This window comes from Homo sapiens, chromosome 9, assembly GCF_000001405.40.
Source record: "Homo sapiens chromosome 9, GRCh38.p14 Primary Assembly".
In the NCBI taxonomy this organism is placed as follows: Eukaryota; Metazoa; Chordata; class Mammalia; order Primates; family Hominidae; genus Homo; species Homo sapiens.
In genome coordinates, this window is record NC_000009.12 from 78359079 (window position 1) to 78383835 (window position 24757).

Below are 24757 nucleotides of genomic sequence, written 5' to 3' on the forward strand. Positions count from 1 at the left end.
AGGAGGTGGAGGTTGCAGTGAGTCGAGATCATGCCATTATACTCCAGCCTGGATGACAAGAGTGAAACTCTGTCTCAGAAAAAAAGAGAAAGTTTACAAATTTGTGTTGGGCTACATTCAAAGCTATCTTGGACCACATGTGGCCCATGGGCTGCTGGTTGGAGAAGCCCACTCTAGTCCCTGGACCATACAGCAGGAAAATGTTGAACAATACAAGCCTGATCTGTAAGAGCTTAGAGTCGGGGGAGGGCAAGAGACAAATAAATAATTCTATCTTCGTACTTCTATGAGTAAGGCAGTGCCTGGTGTTTGTGGTTCTCAAAGCATGGTCCAGCATGGAGCTGCAGCAGGAGACTTACCGAGAGTCTTATTAGAAATGCACATTCTCAGGCCACATCCCTGATCCATTGAATCTAAAAGTCTGAGACTGGGGAAGGGTCTGCGATCGTGTTTTAAGAAGCAGTGTAGGCTGTTCTGATGCTTGATGGAGTTTAAGAATGATTGCTGGAGATGAGAATGGGTCAGATGCGGTGTCTGGCAGGTAACAGATGGGTACGTGGGCTCAAGAGTTAGAAAACTGTAGATTCCTATCTCAAGCCAGAGAGACCTGAGTTCCAATCCCTGCTCCATTCCTGATACCAACCTAAATAACAGGGAGAGCCTGTCTAAAAGAAAATGATGTCTATATGGGCATCGAAAAATTAATTACAATTAGAAATTAATTTTTTCACAGTTCCAGAGGCTGGAAGTCCAAGATCAAAGTTTTGGCAGGTTTGGTTTCTCCTGGGTCCTCTCTCCTTGGCTTGCAGATGCCACCTTCTCACTGTGTCCCCACATGCCTTTTTCTCTGTGCTCACACATCCCTGGTGTCTCCTCTTCTTTATAAGGACACTAGTTGGATTGGATTAGATCCCACCCTTTTGGCCTTATTTTCACTTAATTACCTCTTTAAAGGCACCATCACCAATACAGTCACACTCTGAGGTGCTGGGAGTTAGGGCTTCAACAGATGAATTTTGGGGGGGACACAATTCAGTTTATAACACTGGGAAATAATCTAACATAGGCTGGACGTGGTGGCTCATGCCTGTAATCCCAGCACTTTGGAAGGCCAAGGCAGGTGGATCACTTGAGGTTGGGAGTTCGAGACCAGCCTGGCCAACATGGCAAAACCCCCTCTCTATAAAAAAAATACAAAAATTAGCCAGGCGTGGTGGTGTCTGCCTATAATCTCAGCTACTTGGGAGGCTGAGGCAGGAGAATAGCTTGAACCCGGGAGGCAGAGGTTGCGGTGAGCCGAGATTGCACCATTGCATTCGAGCCTGGATGGCAGAGCGAGACTCTGTCTCAAAAAAAAAAAAAAAAAAAAAAAGAACCTAACATAGGCTGTGTTTAACTGTGATACCAGGTGAAATGAGAACCACAATCTCAGGCATAAAGCCCTTCTCCTTCTCCATCAGATTCAAGGTAAGAGCTCAGGCCCAGTTTTGCATCTACCTTATTTATGTTCCCATGTCAATAAACAGTAGGTGTTTCCCTTCCTTCACTTTCCTTTTCTAGCTATTGAGGGGCAGGTTAGAGCCACACTCTGACAGTGATCATGTATCTTAGATTTTTGTGGACAATCATGATTTTAAACATTTTTGTCTGGTGGTCCACCTAAGAGCATGTCATTTTCATACAACAGGCTCCCAAATTAGGTTTAGAAATTATGGCCACAGTGCCTACTGCACTTAAGATGCAACTTGGAGGGGTGGGGAGGGAGTGGCAGGTGACAGGAGGTAAAGCCAGCCGTCAGAGAAGGAGCAGAGAAAATCTGTAACTCTAGAACAAGTCCTGGGATATAATAGTTTACTGTAGCAGCAAGCACTAGTCTCTAGTTTACTGATAACTCTATTCCTCAAAGAGTCTACTAGAAGGAACACTGAATTCACAATTTTCTAGCTGTAAAATGGACATTTTAATACCTGTTTGTTTTCTTTGAAGGTTATTTCAAGAACTAATGCTAATACCAATAAAGCCCTTTATTTATTTAAAAATGAACTAAAGTAACTTGGAAAGTATTACTTTTGCTCTTAACCACTCTTCATAGCTACCAAGCAGCAGCTCTATTTACACTGAATCCTGGAAGTATGAAATGATCCTGTTTATACCCACAAAATATTCTTGTGCAAAGTGTGCAAACGATTAGGGTCCAGCGCTCAGGCCTCGTCCGGGAGCCACTGCATGATGGGCTCAAATCAATACACATTACAGCATCCTCAAGGGTCTTTGGCAAAAGCCTATAAATTACTTTGCTGAAGGCATTTGTTAATTGAACAGCAGACCCTGAGTGGCAGGAACAATGCAATTGTGAGCTGGGAAAAGCCCCTCCGAAAATCAACAGATGCAAGCGAACCAGTCTCAACGGTGAGGGCTGATTATGATGTGGCTTCTATTTTGGACAATAACCTCTGTTTATGATAGCCTCCCGGTCATTAAAAATCTCTGCTGTAAGAGAAAACTGAGGCCAGGCGCAGTGGCTCACGCCTGTAATCCCAGCACTTTGGGAGGCCGAGGCAGGCGGATCACGAGCTCAGGAGATCGAGAGCATCATGGTTAATACGGTGAAACCCTGTCTCTGCTAAAAAAAAAAAAAAAAAAAAAAAAAAAAAAAAAAAAAAAAAATTAGCCAGTCGTGGTGGCGGGCGCCTGTAGTCCCAGCTACTTGGGAGGCTGAGGCAGGAGAATGGCATGAACCCGGGAGGCGGAGCTTGTAGTAAGCCAAGATCACGCCATTGCACTCCAGCCTGGGAGACAGAGCAAAAAAAAAAGAAAAAAAGAAAACTGAGCTATTAACTTCTTCAGAAAAAAACAGGGGGAAGAGTGGTCATTTCTTTTATAAGCAGAAGGGAAGGTGCTGCTCAATAAAGATCAATTAAACATCTCTGTTAAAAGGCTGCTTGGGAGCGGGTGCCAATAGAAACTCCTCCATATTAAGCCCATGTTCCTACATTCCTCCAGCCTTCCCCATCTCTGTTATTTTGCTCTGGGGAAAATTTTAAGGGGACACTGGCTATTGTAATTATATAAGGTGACAGTGGCTCTCACGTCTATGGCTGAATGATCTTTGATGTTGAATGACTTCTCATGCATTCAGTAAGGGCATCCCCAGACAACAACAGGCAAATCAAATGCTTTTCTGGACTCAACTGAACATCAGCCATCTTCATGAGAGAGTTAAAAAAAAAAAAAAGCAGCCAGGTGCTGTGGCTCATGCCTGTAATCCCAGCACTTTGGGAGGCTGAGGCGGGTGGATCATGAGGTCAGGAGATCGAGACCATCCTGGCTAACACGGTGAAACCCTGTCTCTACTAAAAAATACAAAAAATTAGCCGGGTGTGGTGGCGGGCTCCTGTCGTCCCAGCTACTCGGGAGGCTGAGGCGGAAGAATGGCATGAACCCAGGAGGCGGAGCTTGCAAAGAGCTGAGATCGTGCCACTGCACTCCAGCCTGGGCGACAGAGCGAGACTCTGTCTCAAAAAACAAACAAACAAACAAACAAACAAAAAAACCCAGAAAAAACACAATAATAGGTACCCCAAAAGATTACATGGTGGTCAGAGCTACTAAATCCTGGGATGCAGGAGTAGCTTGAGGGGCCCTGGGTGGTTCATTGTGTAAAGAGCATAGTTCAAAGCTCCCTGTAATCCCCACCATTTTCCACTTGAAGCTTCATCGTAGTCCTTTAAAATACTGTATGTTTCTATTATGTTTATACTGTGTCCTTATCATGTAAGCTGGAACTCTTGTTCAGAATTAACTGCCCTGTTTTCTGAGCTCTGGTACAGTCTTCTTATATTTCAATTATCATACTTCCTAAAAGTTAATTTTTCAAATATCTGTATCTTGTCCAAGATGTAAACTCCTTTTTTATCTTTTCATACTCTCTCATCCATTCATCCCGAGATTTGGTTTGAGTCTTTGCATATCACAAGTGTATTGAAATAAGCTTGCAAGTATCACAGTCTGCATCTTGACAGTCACATTCGTAAGAGGAGGGCTTGCACTCCGGCTGGAGTTACGTGAGAATCCACGTCCAACGAATGAATATGGCTTTAAGGGGGACACTTCCATTTTCGCTTAAAACCAGAAATTGTTGAACTTAATTATCACCAGCAGTAATTCAGACATCAAAGCTCTAGGCCTCTCTGTATTAGTTTTCCGTTGCTATGTATCAGAAATGTAGCAGTTTACTGCAATAAAAATTTATGAGCTCACAATTTTTATAGGTCAGAAGAATAGGCATGGTGTGGCTGAATTTTCTGCTGTGCTCCGTGACTCACTGGGCTGATGTCAAGGTATTGGCCAGGGCTCTGGATCTCATCTGGGGCTTGGAATCTTCTTCCAAGCTCAGTAGCTGTTGGCAGAACTCATTTCCTTATGGTTGCAGGACTAGAAGCCGTTTCTTGCTGGCTGTCAGCTGGGGTGCTCTCAGTTCCTAGAAGCCACCCACCTTCCTTGCCCCACAGACCCCTTCATCTCTAAGCCAGCAATGGACACTCTCCCCTCTACTTTGGCCCCTCCTTCCACTGTGATTCTCTCTGACTGGCCTGTCTCTGACCCCTAACTCAGGTTTCAAGGGCTCCGTTGATTCCATCAAGCCTATGAGGATAATTGCTCTACCTTAAGGTCAACTGATTTGGGACCTTAATTACATCTGTAAAATCCTTTCAGAGTAGCACCTAAATCAGTGTGGTTAAATAATTTGAAGAAGTGTGTCTACACCGGGATATGCCAATCTTGGAGGCCATCTTAGAATTCTGCCTAACACATTCACCAATATGACAAGTTGCAAGCTTTGCTTACCTGTCTGTGCTGGACCTACCAAGTCTTCTCCCTGTGTCTTGTAGTTATGTAGACAGAGGAGATCAGCAACCTCCATCTGACATTAAAAGTGCTGCTTCTTGAAGAGGGAGGGAAGATATAGCTCTGACTTTATCCTTCAACATGAGTGATGTTTCATGGCGTTTGGAAGATGCCCTTGTAAGTCAGTTGCCTGTTAAGACACAACCTTAGTGAGTTGACCACTAGTGAGCATTAAAGGCTTTTTAAAAATGGTATTATGGGCCGGGCGTGGTGGCTCATGCCTGTAATCCTAGCACTTTGGGAGGCCGAGGCGGACAGATCACCTGAAGTCGGGAGTTTGAAACTAGCCCAGCTAACGTGGTGAAACCCCTCCTCTACTAAATATATATATATATGTATATAAAATTAGCCAGGCATGGTTGCGGGCGCCTATAATCCCAGCTACTTGGGAGGCTGAGACAGGAGAATCGCTTGAACCCGGGAGGCAAAGGTTGCAGTGAGCTGAGATTGTACCACTGCACTCCAGCCTGGGCAACAAGAGCAAAACTCTGTCTCAAAAAAAAAATGGTATTAAAAAGGTATTATGAATGGTCTAAGATAGGGGTCAGCAAACTACAGCCAGCCACCTGGTGTTTTTTTTTTTTTTTTTTTTTTAGACGGAGTCTTGCCTCACTCTGTCACCAGGCTGGTGTGCAGTGTGACCTCGGCTCACTGCAGCCTCTGACTCCCTGGTTCAAGCGATTCTCCTGCCTCAGCCTCCTGAGTAGCTGGGATTACAGGCGTGTGCCACCACACTCAGCTAATTTTTGTACTTTTAGTAGAGACGAAGTTTCACCATGTTAGCCAGGATGGTCTCAATCTCCTGACCTCGTGATCCGCCTGCCTCGGCCTCCCAAAGTGTTGGGATTACAGGCGTGAGCCACTGCGCCTGGGAGCCACCTGTTTTTATAAGTAAAATATTGGATAACAATCATGCCTATTCATTTGCAAATGATCTCTGGCTGCTCGTGTGGCACTACTACCAGGTTGAGTACTGAACTCAACTCTCTGACAACAGAAAAATACTCTCTAGCCCTTTACGCTGGTGACTCGTGGTCTAAGACCATTCCCACAGTTGCCTGATGATAAGTATCACCTGGATCATTTGTTAACAAGACAATTTCTGGGCCCAGTGTAGACCCACTGATTCAGAATCTCTGGGGCGAGGGAGAGGGGTGGGGGTGGGAAGCTGTGCTGAGCAAGCTTCGCAGGTGATTCTCATCACCACGGAAGGAGTGGTCTCAGGTGTGCCTTCCTGCCAGGTGAGGGAGAGCCTTTAAAAGAGGAGTAGAGCTCCTCTACTCCTCTTTTAAAAAGAGCACAGACTTTTTTTTTTTTTTTTTTTTCTCTTCTCCTTCTCACTGTCTGGGTCTGCTTCTCAGCACTGCCTTGTGAACGATCACCATCTCAGGTAAGTTACATTTAATCCTCGGTTTATTTACCTCAGAAATGAGGATAATGATGTTTAATTGTTAGCATGCACATATATGCAGAGGGCCTAATACAAGGTCAGTGCTTAATATTGGCAACCCTCAGTAAGAGGAGAAGCACAGTATACACATCAGATGATCCGAAGGCAGCAACCACTCATGGATAAGATGAGCCAGGCTAAGTCTTTACAACAATACTCCACGGTGCATAAGCAGCTCTGTCAAAAAGAAAAACTTCCTATAAAGCAATCTTATTACAGAGTGCTTCCAGGACAGCAGAAAGCCCCTTAGAAACTCAAAATTCCCTGCAGACCACTGAATATTGCAAGAGGTCATAACTGATTAGGATATAACTGAGTTTGCAAAGGAATACTTAATTTTGTGATTGAGAACCCTGGTACTTAGCAGGAAACCTTTTCTTCCCCCCTATTTCTGAGGTTAATGCTTTTAGAAATCACTGCCTGATGAGATCATGCAAATTCAGCCATCTGTATAGCTGTTGAAAGAAAGTTTTTAGATAAATTGCTATGCCTTTGCCACATAAATCCTCATAAGATACAGGACTCCAATAATACTTCAAGTTACAAGGGAGTTTCATATTTTACTAAAAGGGGGAAAAATCAATCTTGAATCTCTTAGTCCAGTGACCAAAGAATCACTTCATTGATTTTGTTCAGCTACTCAGGTGGGTGTACAATTTATCCTGATCTGATCTTATCTGATTTAAAGTTTACTTTTTCTGGGAAGTATTAATTTGAGTGTTATATGGATAGTACTGTAATACCAGACCCTCTTTACGGCCACTTTGCACAGCTTATATAAACATCCCAGGATAGAGTTTCGTTTTAATGTTTTCTCAAATTTAGAATTTGTGTTGGCTGCAAGTTATTCCCCTTTTCAACAGAAGAGGGAGGCAGAGGCTTGTCTAATAACTAAATAAATAAAATACAATAAAAAATAGTGTACCTAAGAACCAGGCTAGAGGGAAAGGGATCTGTACTCTTTTTAGGGAATCAGGTAAACAAGAACAGGATGAATTCTGCCAAGCATGATTTAGATTTTAAGAAAAAAAAATTGGAAATTGAGTGTTTTGCTGATTTAATATTTCAATTTCAGTTTCTAAAAAAGTACCAGCTGGTATTATGCTCACTGCCTGGGCAACAAGATCATTAGAAGCCCAAACCTCAGTCTCATGCAATATACCCACATAACAAACCTGCACATGTACCCCATGAATCTAAACTAAAAACCGAAATATGTAGTGTGAATCCTATTTAGTGAAAAGCAAAACATAGACGATAACACACTGATAAATTAACAGCAATTATTTCTGTGTAGTATTTTTGGTTAAGTATTTTCTATATAATTTTCAATAGTTTCCAAATCTATGAGAATAAGCATGTATTCTTTTACAACCAAAATAAACTCTGCAGAGGGCAGGGGGAGGGATATTCACTTTTATGAAATGCAATGTTGGGATCTTGCTAATACCCTAAAACATAGCGGGATGGACACAGGGTACTTCAGGGTCTGATAACTCCCTAAGCAAACTGCTGGGCAGCAGGCCACCTGGCTGACTCTGGGCTAGCTGCTACAGTATTTCTTTGCTGTCATTCCAGGGGAAAAGCTAGAGATGCTGACCGCAATTAGCTGCATGAGTTCCTGCTGGGATTGTCTGACTCTAGGAGATTCTCTTAGACTAATGTCTCCTGGGCAGATGCCCCACCCCAACTCCCAAAGAGTTCCTGTGGTTCACACCTGGTGCCATTCAGCCGCCAGGCCCTGCTTAGTAAGCCCCCTAGAAAGGCTGCAGTTAATTAAAAATTCAGAGGGGCTGCGCCTACCTAGCCTACCTAGTGAGGCAGCCGTTGGGGCTAGAACTTTATCACCTGTGGGCTTCTGTATCCTATAGTTTCCAAGGGGAGGGTGGGGAGGGAAGATGCAGGTCCTTATTTGATGGGAGAGGTGAATATTTGGGTTTTGGGCTTGTTTCACTTCAGAGATTCACCCATTCAGACACATAAGAGAATATAAGTTTTATTTTTTATGTTTTGTCCCTGGCATCAGAAAACTCTAGGAGATAGAGGCATTGGAGTCAGCTGAACTGGGCTGAGTTTGATGCCACTTGCCAGCAGTGTGACCTTGGGATTTCTGGTCTTTCATCTGTAGAATGGAAATTATAATACCAGTCTTGTCATCCTCAGAGATTATTGTGAATAGCCAGTGAAATATGCGTATGAAAGTGTTTTTGAAATGACAAAGTACTGTGTATAATGTGTGTAGGGGATGGTGTCCCAGATTGAAGTTAAATGAGATCCAGGACTGTGATAGGTCACAAGAAGAGGGGAGGCAGGGCCAGGACTACCATGGAGCAAGCAGGGTGGCCAGGGTGCAAAATTTGAGGAGGCACTTCCTTACAGGGGTGGTCATATGCCTCCTCTGAGTGGGCAAGACCCTGAGAGTGAGGGTCTTGTTAAATTTATCTCACCCACCCTACTCCTGGTCCTGAGTGTAAGTAAAATCTGTGCCTATTAAAATTACAAATGCAATATATGTTCATTGTAGCAAAGCCCACTATACCTAATTTTGCAGAGGTGTGATCACTTGGGCAGTATCTTAGGCCGCCCTCCTTGCATTTTTTTGTTTTGTTTTGTTTTGAGACTGAGTCTTTCTCTGTCGCCCAGGCTGGAGTGCAGTGGCGCAATCTCGGCTCACTGCAACCTTTGCCGTCCGGATTCAAGCGATTCTCCTGCCTCAGCCTCCTAAGTAGCTGGGATCAGCGGCATGCACCACCATGCCCCGCAAATTTTGTATTTTTAGTAGGAATGGGGTTTCATTCACGATGTTGGTCAGGCTGATATTGAACTCTTGACCTCAGATGATCAACCCACCTCAGCCTCCCAAAGTGCTGAGATTACAGGCATGAGCCACCACGCCCAGCCTTCCTTGCATTTTTTATCCATTTGCAATGTTAAGCTAGGCTTCTTGCTCTCACTTAATGGGCAGCACAGAAACATGCAAAAGAAACACAAATCTGATCACAAGACCTCTGTGGGTGTTCTAGATCTTTGTTATAGATTTACTTGCGGACTCTGAAAGGATCACACGGTGCATGACACAGCAAAATTTACTTAAACCCTACTTTACCCAGCTTTCTCTTCCCTGGGCCGAGTCTTGTGGCAGTTGCTCCAAGATCTCCATTTCCTCTCCTTGTAAACGCTCTTAGGTACCTCTTTTTCTCTACCTCCTAGCTAGACGCTACCCTTCATCCACTAGCTCCTCTTTCATGTTGTTACGTGTAAAACCATCTGGCCAGTCCAGGACTCTAACACTTGTTATTATTATCTCCCAAATCACTTCTTGAGGGATCCAAGTGGTAAGGAAACACTTCTCTTTAGGGATGGGGAAGAAAGGAGAAAGGTTGTCAATACTTCGGTAGGTTTTGTTCTGGACATGAACACGTAGCTATGTATATCTACCTCACCGATTTTTAAAAATGGGGCCACACTAGGCCAGGTGCAGTGGCTCATGCCTGTAATCCCAGCACTTTGGGAGCCCGAGGCGGGCAGATCACCTGAGGTCGGGAGTTCGAGACCAGCCTGGTCAACATGGGGTAACCCCGTCTCTACTAAAAATACACAAATTATCTGGGCATGGTGGTGCGTGCCTGTAATCCCAGCTACTTGGGAGGCTGAGGCAGGAGAATCACTGGAACCTGGGAGGCGGAGGTTGCAGGGAGCTGAGATTTCACCACTGCAGTCCAGCCTGGGTGACAGAGTGAGGCTGCGTCTCAAAAAAAAAAAAAAAAAAAAAAAAATTGGGCCACACGAAACCTAATGTCTTCTGATTTGCTTGTTCCATTTAACAATGCATCTTAGAGATCTTCTGTAGCAATATTTACAAGCCAACCTCATTGTTCTTAACAGCTGCCTATATTCTGGAGTTATTTTAACCATTTCTGTACCAGGAGATGTTTCTGTTGTTTCTTGTTTTTCACTCTTGCAAATAATCTGCAGTGAAAATCCTCCTACACTTTGTTTCCTTGCTCACTTAGTTTAATTTGCTAGGTGAAAGAGGATGCAAATTTTAACAGCAGATTATGGGAGGGGCGATTGGGAGCATAGCATGGGATTGATCTGTCCCTGGTATTTTTCTTCCTGACCCATCTCCACTGGATTCATGTTGAAAAACCGTTTTCATTTATGGCTGAGGGGTTGTAAGTAAAAACTGGGGGAGCTATTTTTCTAAAAAAAAAAAAAATCCTCAGTAATATATTGTAGCACAAATATTACTTGGGAGTAATAGCTCAGAAGAGGAATGAGGAGTTTCTGCCTATTACGCCAAGTAAACCATCCTGTAACTTTAGCCAAGCTGGGGTCCCAGGTCTGGGAGTGTGTGATGAAGTCGTGCAGACACAGCGCCACCCAGTGGCTGTCTGGTGAGGACGGGATTGTTTGCAGGGATGAGTGCAAAATCCCTGGGAACTCCTAGAGATGCCGGAGAGGGCATTTTACTGGAGGCTGAGGTCCTGCTTGAGCAGCAGGGAAGATTGGAGCCAGTGACATTTGGGTTATTGATGAAGTGACTTCATATGTAGCCATAGGCTTGTGCCTGAGGCAACTCAGGTTACTGTTGCTTTTGAATGCATTTGCATTTTATGTCTCACACAGTATCTACGTCTATTGGAACAAAATAGTGGCACTGTATGGGAGCGAGTTCTTCCTTGCTCTCTAGGCAGTGCTTATATGACTTCAGAGACCTCTGCCATAACTCTGTGGTCCATAAATTGGGAACGACTGAGATGGGATATTGAAAAGCTGAGTGCAAATGAAATCATTAACTCAATGTCAGGGGGAGCATGCTTTTGAAAGGAATCCTACAGTGAATTCTCATCATGCTGAAGGAACTCCCTGTCGCTCATACTCAAGATCCTAGAATGCCTCCCCGATGTAACAAATCAACTTCACAGGCAGCTTGTTATCCTTTCTTCCACTTGAAGGTCCCACCCTATAAGAGCTCTATTTCCTACAGCTCTGGATTAGGACAGGTGCGGTCTGTCATTGCTATCGGGCCAACTCTATGCTTATTTCTGCTTCTCTTAGTTTCTGTTTTTCTACCTCTGTGAAATGCCGCCTGTGACCCTTTAGTAACTCAAAGCCTACCATATTTCCATGCCCTTGTTAAAGTCCTTCTTAAGGCTCCCAGAAGTCCTCTCAGCCAACTTGGTCCGAAGTGACCTTTCCTTCTGCAAACTCCTCATTCTTTGACCTTTGGTATCATAAGTTTGGCATGTTACTTGTCTTCTCAGCTAGACTCTAAATTCTCTGAAGTCAGTGATGTTTAATGTCATCATAGCTCCTTGAAGCAAGGTGCTAGACACAAAAGAGTGAAATAGTATTTAACTTATTGTGTAACAAAGAATAGCAAACCTGAGTGATTTTTCTGGTAAACTTGGCTCTTCATCTATTGGATCTGCTGCAAGTACATTTTAAAAATCTTTATTGTCTCTCTCTTTAATCCACCCATTCATTCATATATACGAAGTGCTATTTACATGCCAGGCACATCCCTATTTGGCAGAGAGTGGAGAAAAAACCTTGATATTTTTATAACTGTGACAAATGGGCAGCCTGTGCTCTGTGGACAGGGAGGGCCCTGACGACCCACCAGCAGTGGCTTTGAAGATGTCTGTTTCTCCAGTTGCGTTTGTCCTCTATGTTCTTACCTGTGCCCTGTAGATCTGCGTTAAATGCTTGTAAGAGGCTGGACAAAGCTATGGGGCATGGACTTTCACTACTTTCACTTTCAATGGAGATGTGTTCCTGTGAAAAGCTTGCCCATCGCTGTAGAAAATCGAGCCAGTTGCTCATAAAAGCTGAGCTAGTCTGCCTGGAAGAGGGATTGAAAACCCAGACCACCTTGATTGTGTGTCTATATTCTCGCCCTAGAGCACTGCTTGGGAAGTATCTGTTGAACGAGTGGTGTTCATACTTCTATTGGTGGCGACCATGCTTACTCCGCTTTTGGTTGACTTTTTCTACGTGAACAATATTTTGCTAGCCTCTGGGTTAAGAGTAGTTATTTAATGCACACAGACCAATAGGCAACCGCTAAATGGTAGAAGTTTAGGGGATGTACTATCTTGGGAGGATTTATACCAATTACTCAACTGCCTGAATACCAAGTTCCTTCCTATTAGCTTTATAATAAGATAAACTAGTTCTCACATTTATCCCAAGAAGACAGGCTTATCCATATCATCTATATTTTAGCAGGCAGTACCAAACTTCAAGCCTCCAACACATTTTAAATCTTGCCATGTTGTATATTTTAAGTATCATTAAAAAGCCACTTTCTTACTTTAAAAATATGTGTGCAATATATTTTATGAAACCTATAGCAAGTCTATGAAAAATTGATTATTTTTTCCATAGGGATATGTTCAAATGATTTTCATTCTGCTCACCAAATGAAAAATCTAGCTCACATTATGTCCTTTATCTTATTTACTCCCTCTCCTGTGTATATAATCACCATGTTCCCAAACAAAGAGAAATGGGTTACTGTGTTTGGGTAGCCAAATAATTTCCTGTATTGGGCAAAGGAGTTGATGCAGATCTAAACTAGGAAGCATGCATTTCCCTTTCAGATGCCTTATTTTCCTATTCTGTACCCTCTTCCGGCCAACTCTACGTGGGCTGGGTCAGAGTATGCGATGGGGGTGCTGTAGTGAGTGGCAGGCAACTGTGGCTGCTGGTGGAGCGAACACATGATGGAAACATCAGTCACTGCAGGACTCCAGGAAGATGCAAGGAGCTTCACAGACAAAGATAAGAATTGTTCTGTGCTTTAGTCAGGATTATTTCTTAAAAACGTGTGCCAGGGCACAGTGGCTCATGCCTGTAATCCCAGCACTTTGGAAAGCCGGGGCAGGCAGATTGCTTGAGGCCAGGAGTTTGAGACCCGCATGGGCAACATGGTGAAACCCCAACTCTACTAAAATTACAAAAATTAGTGCGGTGATGCCCTGTAATCCCAGCTACTTGGGAGGCTGAGGCAGGAGAATCGCTTGAACCTGGGAGGCAGGTTGCAGTGAGCCGAGTTTGCACCATTGCACTCCAGCCTGGGCAACAAAATGAGACTCTGTGTTCCCATTTACCTTCTGTGGTGCTCCTTCCTACAGGCTGATCATGGCTGAGGTTGTCTTCCCTAGTATCCACTTTCTCCCTGTTCCTTGGGGTCAGAACCATGGCAGGAGGTATCACCAACAGCTCCTCTGTACCTGAGTCTCTTCCCAACTGTTCCCCACCAACTCTTCCATCCGAGAGTCCCGGGTACTTGTAAAACCCTCAGGACAGACAGAGGGTAGGGGAATTGGGCAGCTTGTCAGAGTGACAGTGAGATGAAGATCAAGTCTCACCCATAGCTAAGGTAGGAATCAAAAGAGCCTTTGGAGCTGGGGTACCAGTTGAGTGCACCACCTTTGTTTCACAAATGAGGATGAGACAGGCAATGAACAGAGGCTCAAGAGACAGTTGTGATAATTTCTGAGTACAGGGGAATAGGAGAGTCTAGGGAAATGGGATTTAGCAGGCAACGGGAGCAGGAAATTGGACATCGTGATGTCTGGCGTGCCAGTGCCTGACCCAGTAAGCCGAAGAGTGGAGTCAGATGTGACTGGAGTGGAGGATTCAGGGGGTCACTTAAGCTGGGGCCACATTGTGGAAGATCTCAAGAACCATGATGGGGAGTTATAAATGATCTATGCATGGAGGGGCCCCGCGGGTTTTTGAGATTGAGATTTTTGAAGGCATGATCTGATCTGAGGCTTTGGAATCACCATAAAAAGAATTTAGAGGTTGTCCTGTGTTGTGGTTTTAAACGTGTACTCTGAGGAACCGCCTTAGGGGCTGCTCTTGTGGAGGTGGTGAAAGGATCTGGGAAAAGCCAAGAGGCTAGGATCTTGGGCCCCTGCTTGCGCTAAATCAGGCAGCCCTGCCCCTGTTTTTCTTATCGAGCTGCCAGGTAAAATTTCTTCTTTTTCTTGTGATAAAGAACATAGAAGGTAAAATTTACCATCTTAACCACTTTTAGTTGTACAGTTCAGTAAAGCATATTCACATTGCTGTGAAACAGATCTCTAGAACTATTCCACTTGCAAAACAAACTCTATACCCTTTGAATAACCACTCCCCGTTCGACCCTTCCATCCCAAACCCCTGGTAAACCACCTTCCTCTTTTGTGTTTTTATGAATTTGGTCGGTCATGTAAGATTTATTTTGAAAAACAGTGCTAGAGCTGAGATGGTTGGAAAGCCATTGATCGATCATCCTACCCCGCTTTCTCCTGGCTTTGACAAAGAGAAGGCTGAGGTCCCGGAAGCCAAAGTGGCCACCTTGTGATGAAGACGTCATGCACACAGATACTTAAACCAGGGTGCCAGGAATCTAGGTTCTGTGTCTACAGTTTTGTAGACTAGGTTCTGCTGCTGTGTGTGTGATAGTCGTCAAGCAGCCGATTTAACTTGGTGCCTCGGTTTTCTTATCTGTTAAAGGATGTGACAGTAACAGCATCTCCCTGATAGACTTGTTGTGAGGATTAAGCCAGGTAATGTAAATAAAGCACTTTCAACCGGGCCTGGCACTTATATAAGTGTTTGCTGTTATTAAGTGACTTCCTGGCACAGCATGGCTCCTTATGAAGAAAGCTGTTCCTATGGACCTATAACCAGTGCCTGTGCTGCATGCTCTGTCTCCTGAGTCTTTCACCTAACACTGAATAGATGGCTTTGACTCAACCTGCCTGCCTTCTACATAGCCCTGTTTCTCATCTGGGGCATGCCACTGATGTCAAAGGATGCTCCATCAAGACCTTAATTTTCAAGGGGAAAGTGGTAGAGGACACATCACATAGCACAGGAGGAATGGACATCCTGTGACATTAATCTGAAAAGTAGTTATGGAACGCTTTAGATAAGGCAGTGGCTTAGGTGCTGAGGATACTGAATGAACAGACCAGGCAAAAGTCCCACTGTCATAGAGCCTGCATTCTAGCAGGGCAAAGCTTTGCAATGCAGACCTTTCAATAAATGAAATGCTTTTCTTGGACTCGTATGCCCCAGGAAGATGAAAAGTTTGCATAAAAATGCTCAGATTTGGAAATGGAACACTTTAGACTTATTGCTATAGTGCCTCTGAAAAGTGGTTTGTAAAAATAGATACTAAAAATGATGCAGACATACTGGTGCTCTTAGGTTGAGACAATTTTTCAGGTACAAAGTTTCCAAATCGATTTATCTCAAGTTCTGATTCAAGGGTTGTGTATATAGTACAGTTTGTCATCTTTAGAACTTGGTGAGGACAGCATTAGGCTTGTTTTACTTGTGCTTCAATCAGATGTCAGGAGGAATGTGGGATTCCACCTGCCGATGCCTCTCCGGGGCTTCATCCTTTCCTCCTCAATATGAGCAGATGACATTCAGATACCCAGCAGCAGAAGCAGAGACGGTGTGGGGACTAGTTTTGTTGGGGAAGAAAATAGGAATTGCCATTAGACTAGGATGAACTGAAGCTCACCTGTCACAGGGTGGGGACTATTCTGTGAGGAAAGAAAGAAAAGAATGGTCACACAGAGCACTCAGCTGCTTGTGAGTCCCCTATGCCATGTGCACTGCAGCCATTGCTATAAAGCACAGCACTTCCTTCCTTGGATCCTACAAATGCTTCATTTGTAGACACTTCCCAACACCGTGCTTCCAGGTGCCACTGCCAGTCAAGGCTGGTGGGTGATGTGCATCTCATGGACCATCAGGAGCTACTGGTGGCCATTAAAGTCATTAGACACATGGGAGCTATGACTCAGAGACCCATACAGCCTATCATTACCCCCACTTCTTTCTCATGAAGTCTCCCCTATTTTGTTGAGGTAGGGGTGGAGATCCCTTGACCTTAGGGAATAAGGGCTCTTTTTCAGCCCTAGGGGATGGCTTAGGGAGGTCTAGGCCAGTTGTAGTAGTCCCATTTCCTTTTGCCAGCCTTTTGTGCAGCTCTAAGTGGCTACATGACACTGGCTGCTGAGTCCCTTGGCAGTTTCTGGGAAAGACTTCTTTTTCTGTTTCTTTTTTTTTTTATTATTATTTTGAGACAGGGTCTCACTCTATCACACAGGCAGGAGTGCAGTGGTGTGATCTCAGTTCACTGTGCAACCTGCATCTCCCGGGCTTAAAGAATCCTCTCACCTCAGCCTTCTGAGTAGCTGAGACTACATATGTGTGCCACCATACCAGGCTAATTTTTGTATTTTTAGTAGAGACGGGGTTTTTGCCATGTTACCCAGGCTGGTCTCAAACTCCTGAGCACCTCCTTGCCTTGGCATCCCAAAGTGCTGGGATTACAGGTGTGAGCAACCATATCCAGCTGACTTTTTAATTTCTCAGATAAAAAGGCATAAAAGTTATTTTTTGAGGAGAAAGCTTTTTGCCCACCCTTTTCTTCTAGTGTAGCACACTGTTACAATGATACAATGCCCGGAGCAGTAGCAGCCGGTTTGCAAACCTGAGTTATCAAAAAAAGAAAATTGGACAGAAGCTAGTTGGATCCCTGAGACTAGATTATCACTGCATCTGGGCTGCTTTCTCCCAGATTTCCTGTTACATGAGACAATTGGGGATGTCTTTGTCATGCCAGTCAGGCTCTCTGTCACTGGAGACTGAGAGGATTCTAAAACTGATAGAGCAATTTTAGTCCTTGTCTTTTTTTTTTTTTTTGAGATGGGTTCCCACTCTGTCACTGAGGCAGCAGTGCAGTGGTACCATCATAGCTCACTGTAGCCTCAACCTCCTGGGCTCAAGTGATCCTCCTGCCTCAGCTTCCCAAGTAGCTGGGACCATAGACGTGCAACCATGCCTGGCTATGTTTTACAATTACTTTTTTTTTTTTTTTTCTGTAGAGATAGGGTTTCACTATGTTGCCCGGGCTGGTTTCAAACTCCTGGCCGATCCTCCTGTCTCAGCCTCCCAAAATGCTGGAATTACAGGCATGAGCCACCACTTCTGGCCAGTCTTTGTCTTTGAGGTGGGATGCCCACATAGCATATGGGTTTCCATAATGGTGGCTACTATGTAACCAAGAGACTATGTAGCCTAATGTCCCAAATTGCTATGATTCTGACTTGGGCTCATCAAACTTTAGTTTTGGAGGGAAAAGAAACCATCAGAGAACATCGAATCCTGGGTTTCCCAAGGTGGATTCTGTTGAATTACAGACATAAAAGATACTTGCACCCAAAAGCGTTCCACAGCCAAGTAGGTTTGAGAACACTTCCTACCACATCCCCTTCTCAGAAGAGACTAGGTTCTGTGTCTACAGTTTTGTCTATTCTTCCACAGCCCATGCTCAGGACCTCCTCCTTTCTTGTTTGGACCTGCGCTGTAGCCTTACTTCTGGCATTGCTGCATCCCTTTATTCCCTATGCTCTTTGACTACTAATCTCTCTCGTTGCCTTCATTCACTCACAGCTGAGCACTTGGTAGGTGCTATGCACCGTTGCAGTTGCTGGAGACATGACAAAAAACAAAACAGGAGATATCCACCCTCATGGAGCTTACATTTCAGTCAAGACAGGTACGCATGGCCAGATGCCATGGCTCATGCCTATAATCCCGGCACTTCGGGAGGATGAGGTGGATGGATCTCCTGAGCCCAGGAATTCAAGACCAGCCTTGGCAACATGGAGAAACCCTATCTCTACAAAAAAAAATACAAAATTAGCCAGATGTGGTGGTGTATGCCTGTAGTCCCAGCTAGGAGGCCGAGGCATGAGGATCACTTGGGCCTGAGAGGTTGAGGCTGTAGTAAGCCATGGATGCACAACTGCACTGCAACCTGGGCAAGACCCTGTCAAAAAAAACAAAACAAAAAAAAACAAAAAACAAAAAACAACTATGTAGTAAAGAACTACAAAGAAAAACATGTAGTATATTAGAGAATAAGAATTTGGAGAAAAATCAACCAGGGAAAAGAGAGGAGGTTCAATTTGGAATAGAATTGCCAGGTAAGGCCTGCTGCAAAAGTGACATTTGGGTAGAAGCCTAAGCGGGTGAAGGTATCTGAGGAAAAGTGCCTCAGGGAGAGAGAGAACAGCGTGTATAGGGGCTCTGAGATGGGAGAGGGCCTGTGTTTGAGGAAGGGTAAGGAGTGAGAATGACTGGAGTGAGAGTCATTCTCAGAGTTGTGGGGGCCATGGTCAGCTGAGCTGTGGGCATCAGTCATGTGATGCTCTCTAGACCACTGCAGGGCTGTGGCTATGCCTTGAATGAGATGGGACCCCTTAGAGAAGTTTGGAGAGGGTGAGTGATGGAGCAGACCTGTATTTTAAAAGGCTCCATCTGCTTGCTGGAGATGGATAAGAATAGACTGGGGGTGGGGAAGGAAGGGAAGGGAGGAGATCCATTAGTAGGTTGCTGCCATAATCGAGGTGAGAGGTGATGGCTTGGACCAGGGTGGAGGGGAGAAGTGAGAACTAATTGAATTTGGGCATATTTTGAAAGTGCAGCAGGATGACATGACAAATTACTTACAGTTATGTGAGAAAGAGTAGAATCAGGGTGACTCTAGGTTTCGGTTTTTAACCAGTTTGATGGATGGAGTTGGCATTTCCTAAGATGGGGAAGAATGTGGGAAGAACAAGTTTGGGGCAGGGCATGGGAAGAGGTCAGTCTCGGACAAGTTAAGTTTGAGATGTCTGTTAGATGTGCGAGGGCAAATGTTAAGAATCAGTTGCATGTAGGCTGGGTGCAGTGGCTCACACCTGTAATCACAGCACTTTGGGAGGCTGAGGCGGGCAGATCACGAGGTCAGGAGATTGAGACCATCCTGGCTAACGCGGTGAAAACCCAACTCTACTAAAAATACAAAAAAAAAAAAATTAGCTGGGTGTGGTGGCGGGTGCCTGTAGTCCCAGCTACTTGGGAGGCTGAGGCAGGAGAATGGCGTGAACCTGGGAGGCAGAGATTGTAGTGAGCTGAGATCGCACCACTGCACTCCAGCCTGGGCGACAGAGCGAGACTCTGTCTCAAAAAAAAAAAGAAAAAAGAAAAAGAAAAAGAAAAAAAAAATCGGTTGCATGTGATCTGTTGAAATGTATGTCCACAGTTCAGGAACAAGGTGCAGGCTGCAGATAGGTAAGTGGAGGTGGTCAGCACATATGTTGTACTTAATGCAGTGAGAGCGGATGAGAACACCTAGGAGTGAGTGTAGGTGGAAAAGAGAATAGGTGTAAGGTCTGAGTCTGGGGTGCTTCAACATTCACAGGTTGGAGAAATGAGTAGGAGGCTGAGAAGGGGCAGCCAGAGGGAAGAAGAGTCGGAAGTGCTGGAAGCTGAAGGAAAAGGGCTTTCCAGGAGGAAAGAGTGATCGCTGGGTTACGTGCTGCTTATTGGTCGAGTGGCATGGAAACAAAGATGTGATCATTGGATTCGTCAGGTCAGGTCACTGAAGGGGTTGACAGGACAGTTTTGGTGGGGGTTGGGGGCAACAGTCAGAATGGAGAAGAGAAGTTTTGGAAGGAATATTGGTACAGAGGGCAACAGAATGAGGAGAGAGCCGAAAGGAAATGCAAGGTCCAAGAAGGGAGAGTATTTTGTCAAAGCAAAAAATTGCACCTGACAGCCGGGTGCGGTGGCTCACGCCTGTAATCCTAGCACTTTGGGAGGCAGAGGCGGGCAGATCACTTGAGGTCAGGAGTTCAAGACCATCCTGGCCAACGTGATGAAATCTCGTCTCTACTAAAAATACAAAAATTAGCCAGAAATCGCTTGAACCTAGAAGGCAGAGGTTGCAGTGAGCTGAGATCATGCCACTGCACTCCATCCTGGGCAACAGAGTGAGACTCTGTCTCAAAAAAAAAAAAAAAAAAAAAAAAAAAAAAAAAAAAAAAAAAAAAAAAAAAACATAAAAAAACTCTACCTGACAAAGTTAAACAGGCATGGAAGATTTTATTTAAGGCTGTTGCGCTAGGGAAGAGAGGTCTGAACTCAACTCTGCTGAAGCAGGGGGTGGTAGGGTTTTTAAGGGCTGGGGTGAGTGAGTGAGAGATAATAGGCCATTTGTGTTTGCAAATTGGCTTTCCCCAAAGGAAAAGTAAACTCCTCCATCTTTAGGACAAGAAATAGTTTGAGGACTTGGATCAAGGTGCCCAATGAAGTTAGGTTCCTACCTTCCCACAGAAACAGGGAAATAGGTGTGCTATCTCCTTTGATGATTTAATTTCTTTTTTCTTTTCTTTTTTTTAAAAATATTCTCAAATGTAAAACTTTTAATTTAAAAGTAAACTTTAATGTCAATGATGATGTCATTTCAAAGAGATGGTTCCTGGGCCCTTGAGAAAGACATTCTTGGATCGTAAAAACCAGCAAGAGGCTTTCGAAAAGATTTGTGTAGGTTTATGTACACTTCAAATGGGCAGAGAAAAAATTGACAGTTACAAGTTTTCTTTAAAAATGGGCTGGGCGCAGTGGCTCATGCCTGTAATTCCAGCACTTTGGGAGGCCAAGGCGAGTGGATCACCTGAGGCCAGCAGTTCGTGACCAGCCTGACCAACATGGTGAAGCCCTGTCTCTACTAAAAATACAAAAATAGCGGGCATGGTGGCACACACCTGTTATCCCAGCTACTCGGGAGACTGACACAGGAGAATTGCTTGAACCTGGGAGGTGGAGGTTGCAGTGAGCCGAGATTGCACCATTGCAATCCAGCCTGGGCAACAAGAGTGAAACTCCATCTCAGGAAAAAATAAAATAAAAAAAGAAGAAAAACAAATGCTCTAAAAAATGTTTAGTAATTAGTTGTATCTGATCTGTTGTAATGCATGTCTACAGTTAGGAACTGTGAGGGACCAGAGTCAGGAAGAAGCTTGTGTAAAGTTTAGTTAAGCTGAGGGGAGTGTTAAGGCCATCTTGATTATTTATAAAACAGGTACCATCTTTATTTAAAATTTCTGATGTCTGTGGGGTAATCATGACTCTTTCCCAGCAGCCTCCTTTTGGCTGTGCCTTAACCATCGTCTGAAGCGTTGCCCCCATCTTTCTTCAGCTGTTCCTTCCTCTTCGATTTCCTTTCAGTCTCCACCCCTCATCCCAACACAGCTTTCTTCTCATCTTCTCTGTGGGACTCTGCCTGACATTTACCTCCCATAGAATCAATGGCTGCCTCCTCTGTGGGCCCCTAGAGTCTATACTTCTTTTATGGCACTGTCTCAGTTTTTATGGGCTTCAGTTGATTGAGTTCCTCAAGGGCATAAGCGTATCTTATTCATCTTAGTGGTTCTACCTGAAGAGTGATGTTGGGCTCCTGGTAATCACATGGGATAGGGTATCACGTATATAATCTTGGTAAATTAGAGGATCTGTCATTCTTTCCTCCTAAAGTATAGATCTGATCAACTGGGAAAAAGCATAGAGTATTTTCTTTATAATATTTGGCAGGCTATGCACTAGTGTTTATACTGAGTAAAGGTCTTACAGCAGTTTCCACTGCCTAAGAAGTATGTGTGGCATAAATGGGAATAATTGCCCATGTTTCTGCTTAATGGCAAGAAGTTGATTTTGAGTATGTAAGCCCTACTAGGAATATATTTAATAATTCTGCCACTGTGTAATATACTTGTTGAGCTCTCATCTGACTATGAGGCCTCACTCACCATATGACTTCTGAGTAAAGCAGTTCATAAGCCATTCCTATTTTAGATTGTATGGAGATACTTATGGAGAGTCAGCACCAGTCAGCTTCTATTCCCAAACTGCATGAAATGAAGAGAACTACAGATTGACAAGTTGGTTTAATATCAACTTAAGAGAGGACTTCAACTACCAAGTGGCTGGATGGATTAAGTAATATAGTATTTCAGAGGCTTAATGGGTTTTGGTTTTGCAGAAGGTTTCATGGGGTATGAGGCTTTAGGGTTCAACTTTGGAGCCAACAAAAAGAGCTGATACTTTTACCTGTAATTGTGCTGGGGGGCTCCCTCTGATTATAGCTTTAGACCTTTGAATGGGGCTGGAGAAGGGAAAAAAGACTTTAGAATTAGCAGAAGAAAATGAACATGAAGACAAAAACCAATAAGTGGTCACGGAGCTGCCAAGAGTGAAGGCAGTAACGAGGCAGAATTAGTTCTTACTGACAACTTGAAATTGCCTGGAACATTATAAAAATCAATCAGTCTGTTAAAAGCAGACTCACAGTGACCACTGGATGGTGTGATGTTTGCAATTTGTCTGGACACAAATTTAGAGAAGCCAGCAGAGATGTAGCCTAATACCTAGCTTCTGGCTGGCACAAAGCTTTTGAAGAGAAGTCTCAAAATTAGCTTCAACCAGGGTTATTTTTCTCCAGCAATCTTAAAGTCAGTAGAACTGAAATTAGTTGATTACTCATTTCTCCAACTCTAATAGCTATTGTCATTTTTCTGTAATTACAGTGTACTATAAAAATATGTATTTTAATGTTCCTTTTTGGGTTGAATATTCCTTTATGGATTATCTTTCTCTCCTATTGTTGTAACCCTCAAAATTTTGAGTTTGAATAAAGAAAAACACTAAACTACTGAATTCATTCTTTGAACAGAAGTGATGGGTGCAGAACAACATATAGAAGCTTGTCAAGGAGTATTTCTGCCTCTCCAGAAAGAGGCAGATGCACAAACCTGCAATTAAAACAGGACAGAATAGGTGCAGAGTGAAATATGTCTGATCATATTGGGGCAATAATCAAGTCTTGGCATGGCAGGAATTGTCTCGTTCGTTAACTGTATCCCCAGAGCCTGTCACATAGATGGAGCTTTGTCAAATGGTTTTAATAAAAAAGCTCCCAAGTAGGTAGATGGGTTGAAGAAAGGGATTTCTAGACATGGGGAAAAGCAAGTGCAAAGTCTCAAGTGTATGAACCAGACTTCAGGTATTACATGATGACTGGGTTGGTAAGGGATGCAGGTGGTCAATGTGCCAGTTGAGATGGTTTCAGACTTTTAGGCCAAAAGTCAAAGGGAGCCCTCTGAAGGTTGGGTGCAGGTTTCTGCACACAGCAGGTACTCTCAAGTGTTTACCACCTGACCAAATGAGCAAATGGAAGGACTTCAAGCCAGGGAGTACCCTGGTTAGACTGACATCTTAGATTTCTCCTGCCACTGTGGGAAATGGTCTGGAAGGGGGGTTAGTCTGGAATAGGATTCTCAACTGGAGGTATTTTCCTTCCCAAGGGACATTTGGCAATGTCTGGAGATTTTAGGTTGTTACAACTTGGAGGTTTTTACTGGCATCTAGTGTGTAGAAGCCAAGGATGCTGGTGAACATCTCATAAAGCACAGGACAGCCCCCTTCACGCATCAAAAAATTAGTACAATGAAAAAGACATTAGCAAGTACACAATGTTGCAAGTGTACTTAAACTGCTACTGAAATGGACAGAGAAAAGGTAGTTTCTTCAGTCTGCCTAGAACTGATCTGATATTCAAGAGTTGCCACTTACTGATGAGAAGGAAAAAATTTAATGATATTTAGTTTAATGCAGTTTAGAACTTAGTATGATCTAATAATTGTAAAAGGCCCCTTCAGAGGGCGATCTGTATTTTGGGAATAATGGTACAGGCTTTTTTATGGCAATACTCTCTCCTCCCCACCTTGATCTTCTCCAAGTTAATGTCTGAGTTTATGGGTGGAGGCAGAGGGTGGCTCATGGAACCTTGTATGACCTCGTGGAGTCTGAAAAGTTCTTTGAGAAGCCTGAAAACTTCATTTATTTGAAGAGCTCAGGGGCCACTCTTGGGTGGAAGGAACTGACATTCTATGTTTTTCAACCCAGAGTGACTCAGCAATATTATTTTTAGGTTTACATATTTGGGTTCTCTGTAAGATTTTTTGAGAAGAGGCTCGTTCTGCTAAACATACTTGAATCCACTGATCTGAAATGCCTTCAGGGCCGCCTACACTGGAATGTGAATTATAGGCTTAGATCAGTGTCCTGTGACACATAAGGCATTTTTATGGGTATCATGATATTTGTTTCTAGGTTTTGATGCTGACAATTGAGCTGCCCAAACCTTTTAGTCATGTCCAATTTTGTCATAGATGTGAATAAAATCTTTCTATCATGGTCAATATGTTCCTTACAAATGCAGCAATTTCTCATTGAAAACTGTTCTCTTAAGGGAACATAATAGATTTCATGGCTCCTAGTGAAAAGGGAAGGTGCTAACTAGCCATGTGGCTCAAAGTACACCATTATAGTAACCACTACTTCCTTTTAAGGTCTTACAGCCTTAAAATTCCCTTTTAATACTAATAAAAAGAAATTTTCACACTTGTTCTATGAACAAAGTTTCTTTAGTAATTCTGATGGTATTGCTTGAGTCTTTTCAGTCTAATAACTTTTCCCTCTTCTCCTGTTTCA

General features: G+C 43.7%; 1 long non-coding RNA gene across 2 annotated transcripts in view; it reads left to right on the top strand.

The window, feature by feature from the left end:
- Positions 1 to 24757, top strand: part of LOC107987083 (uncharacterized) — a 122361-nt gene that overhangs the window by 1474 nt on the left and 96130 nt on the right. The gene's annotated exons all lie outside the window — the stretch shown is intronic.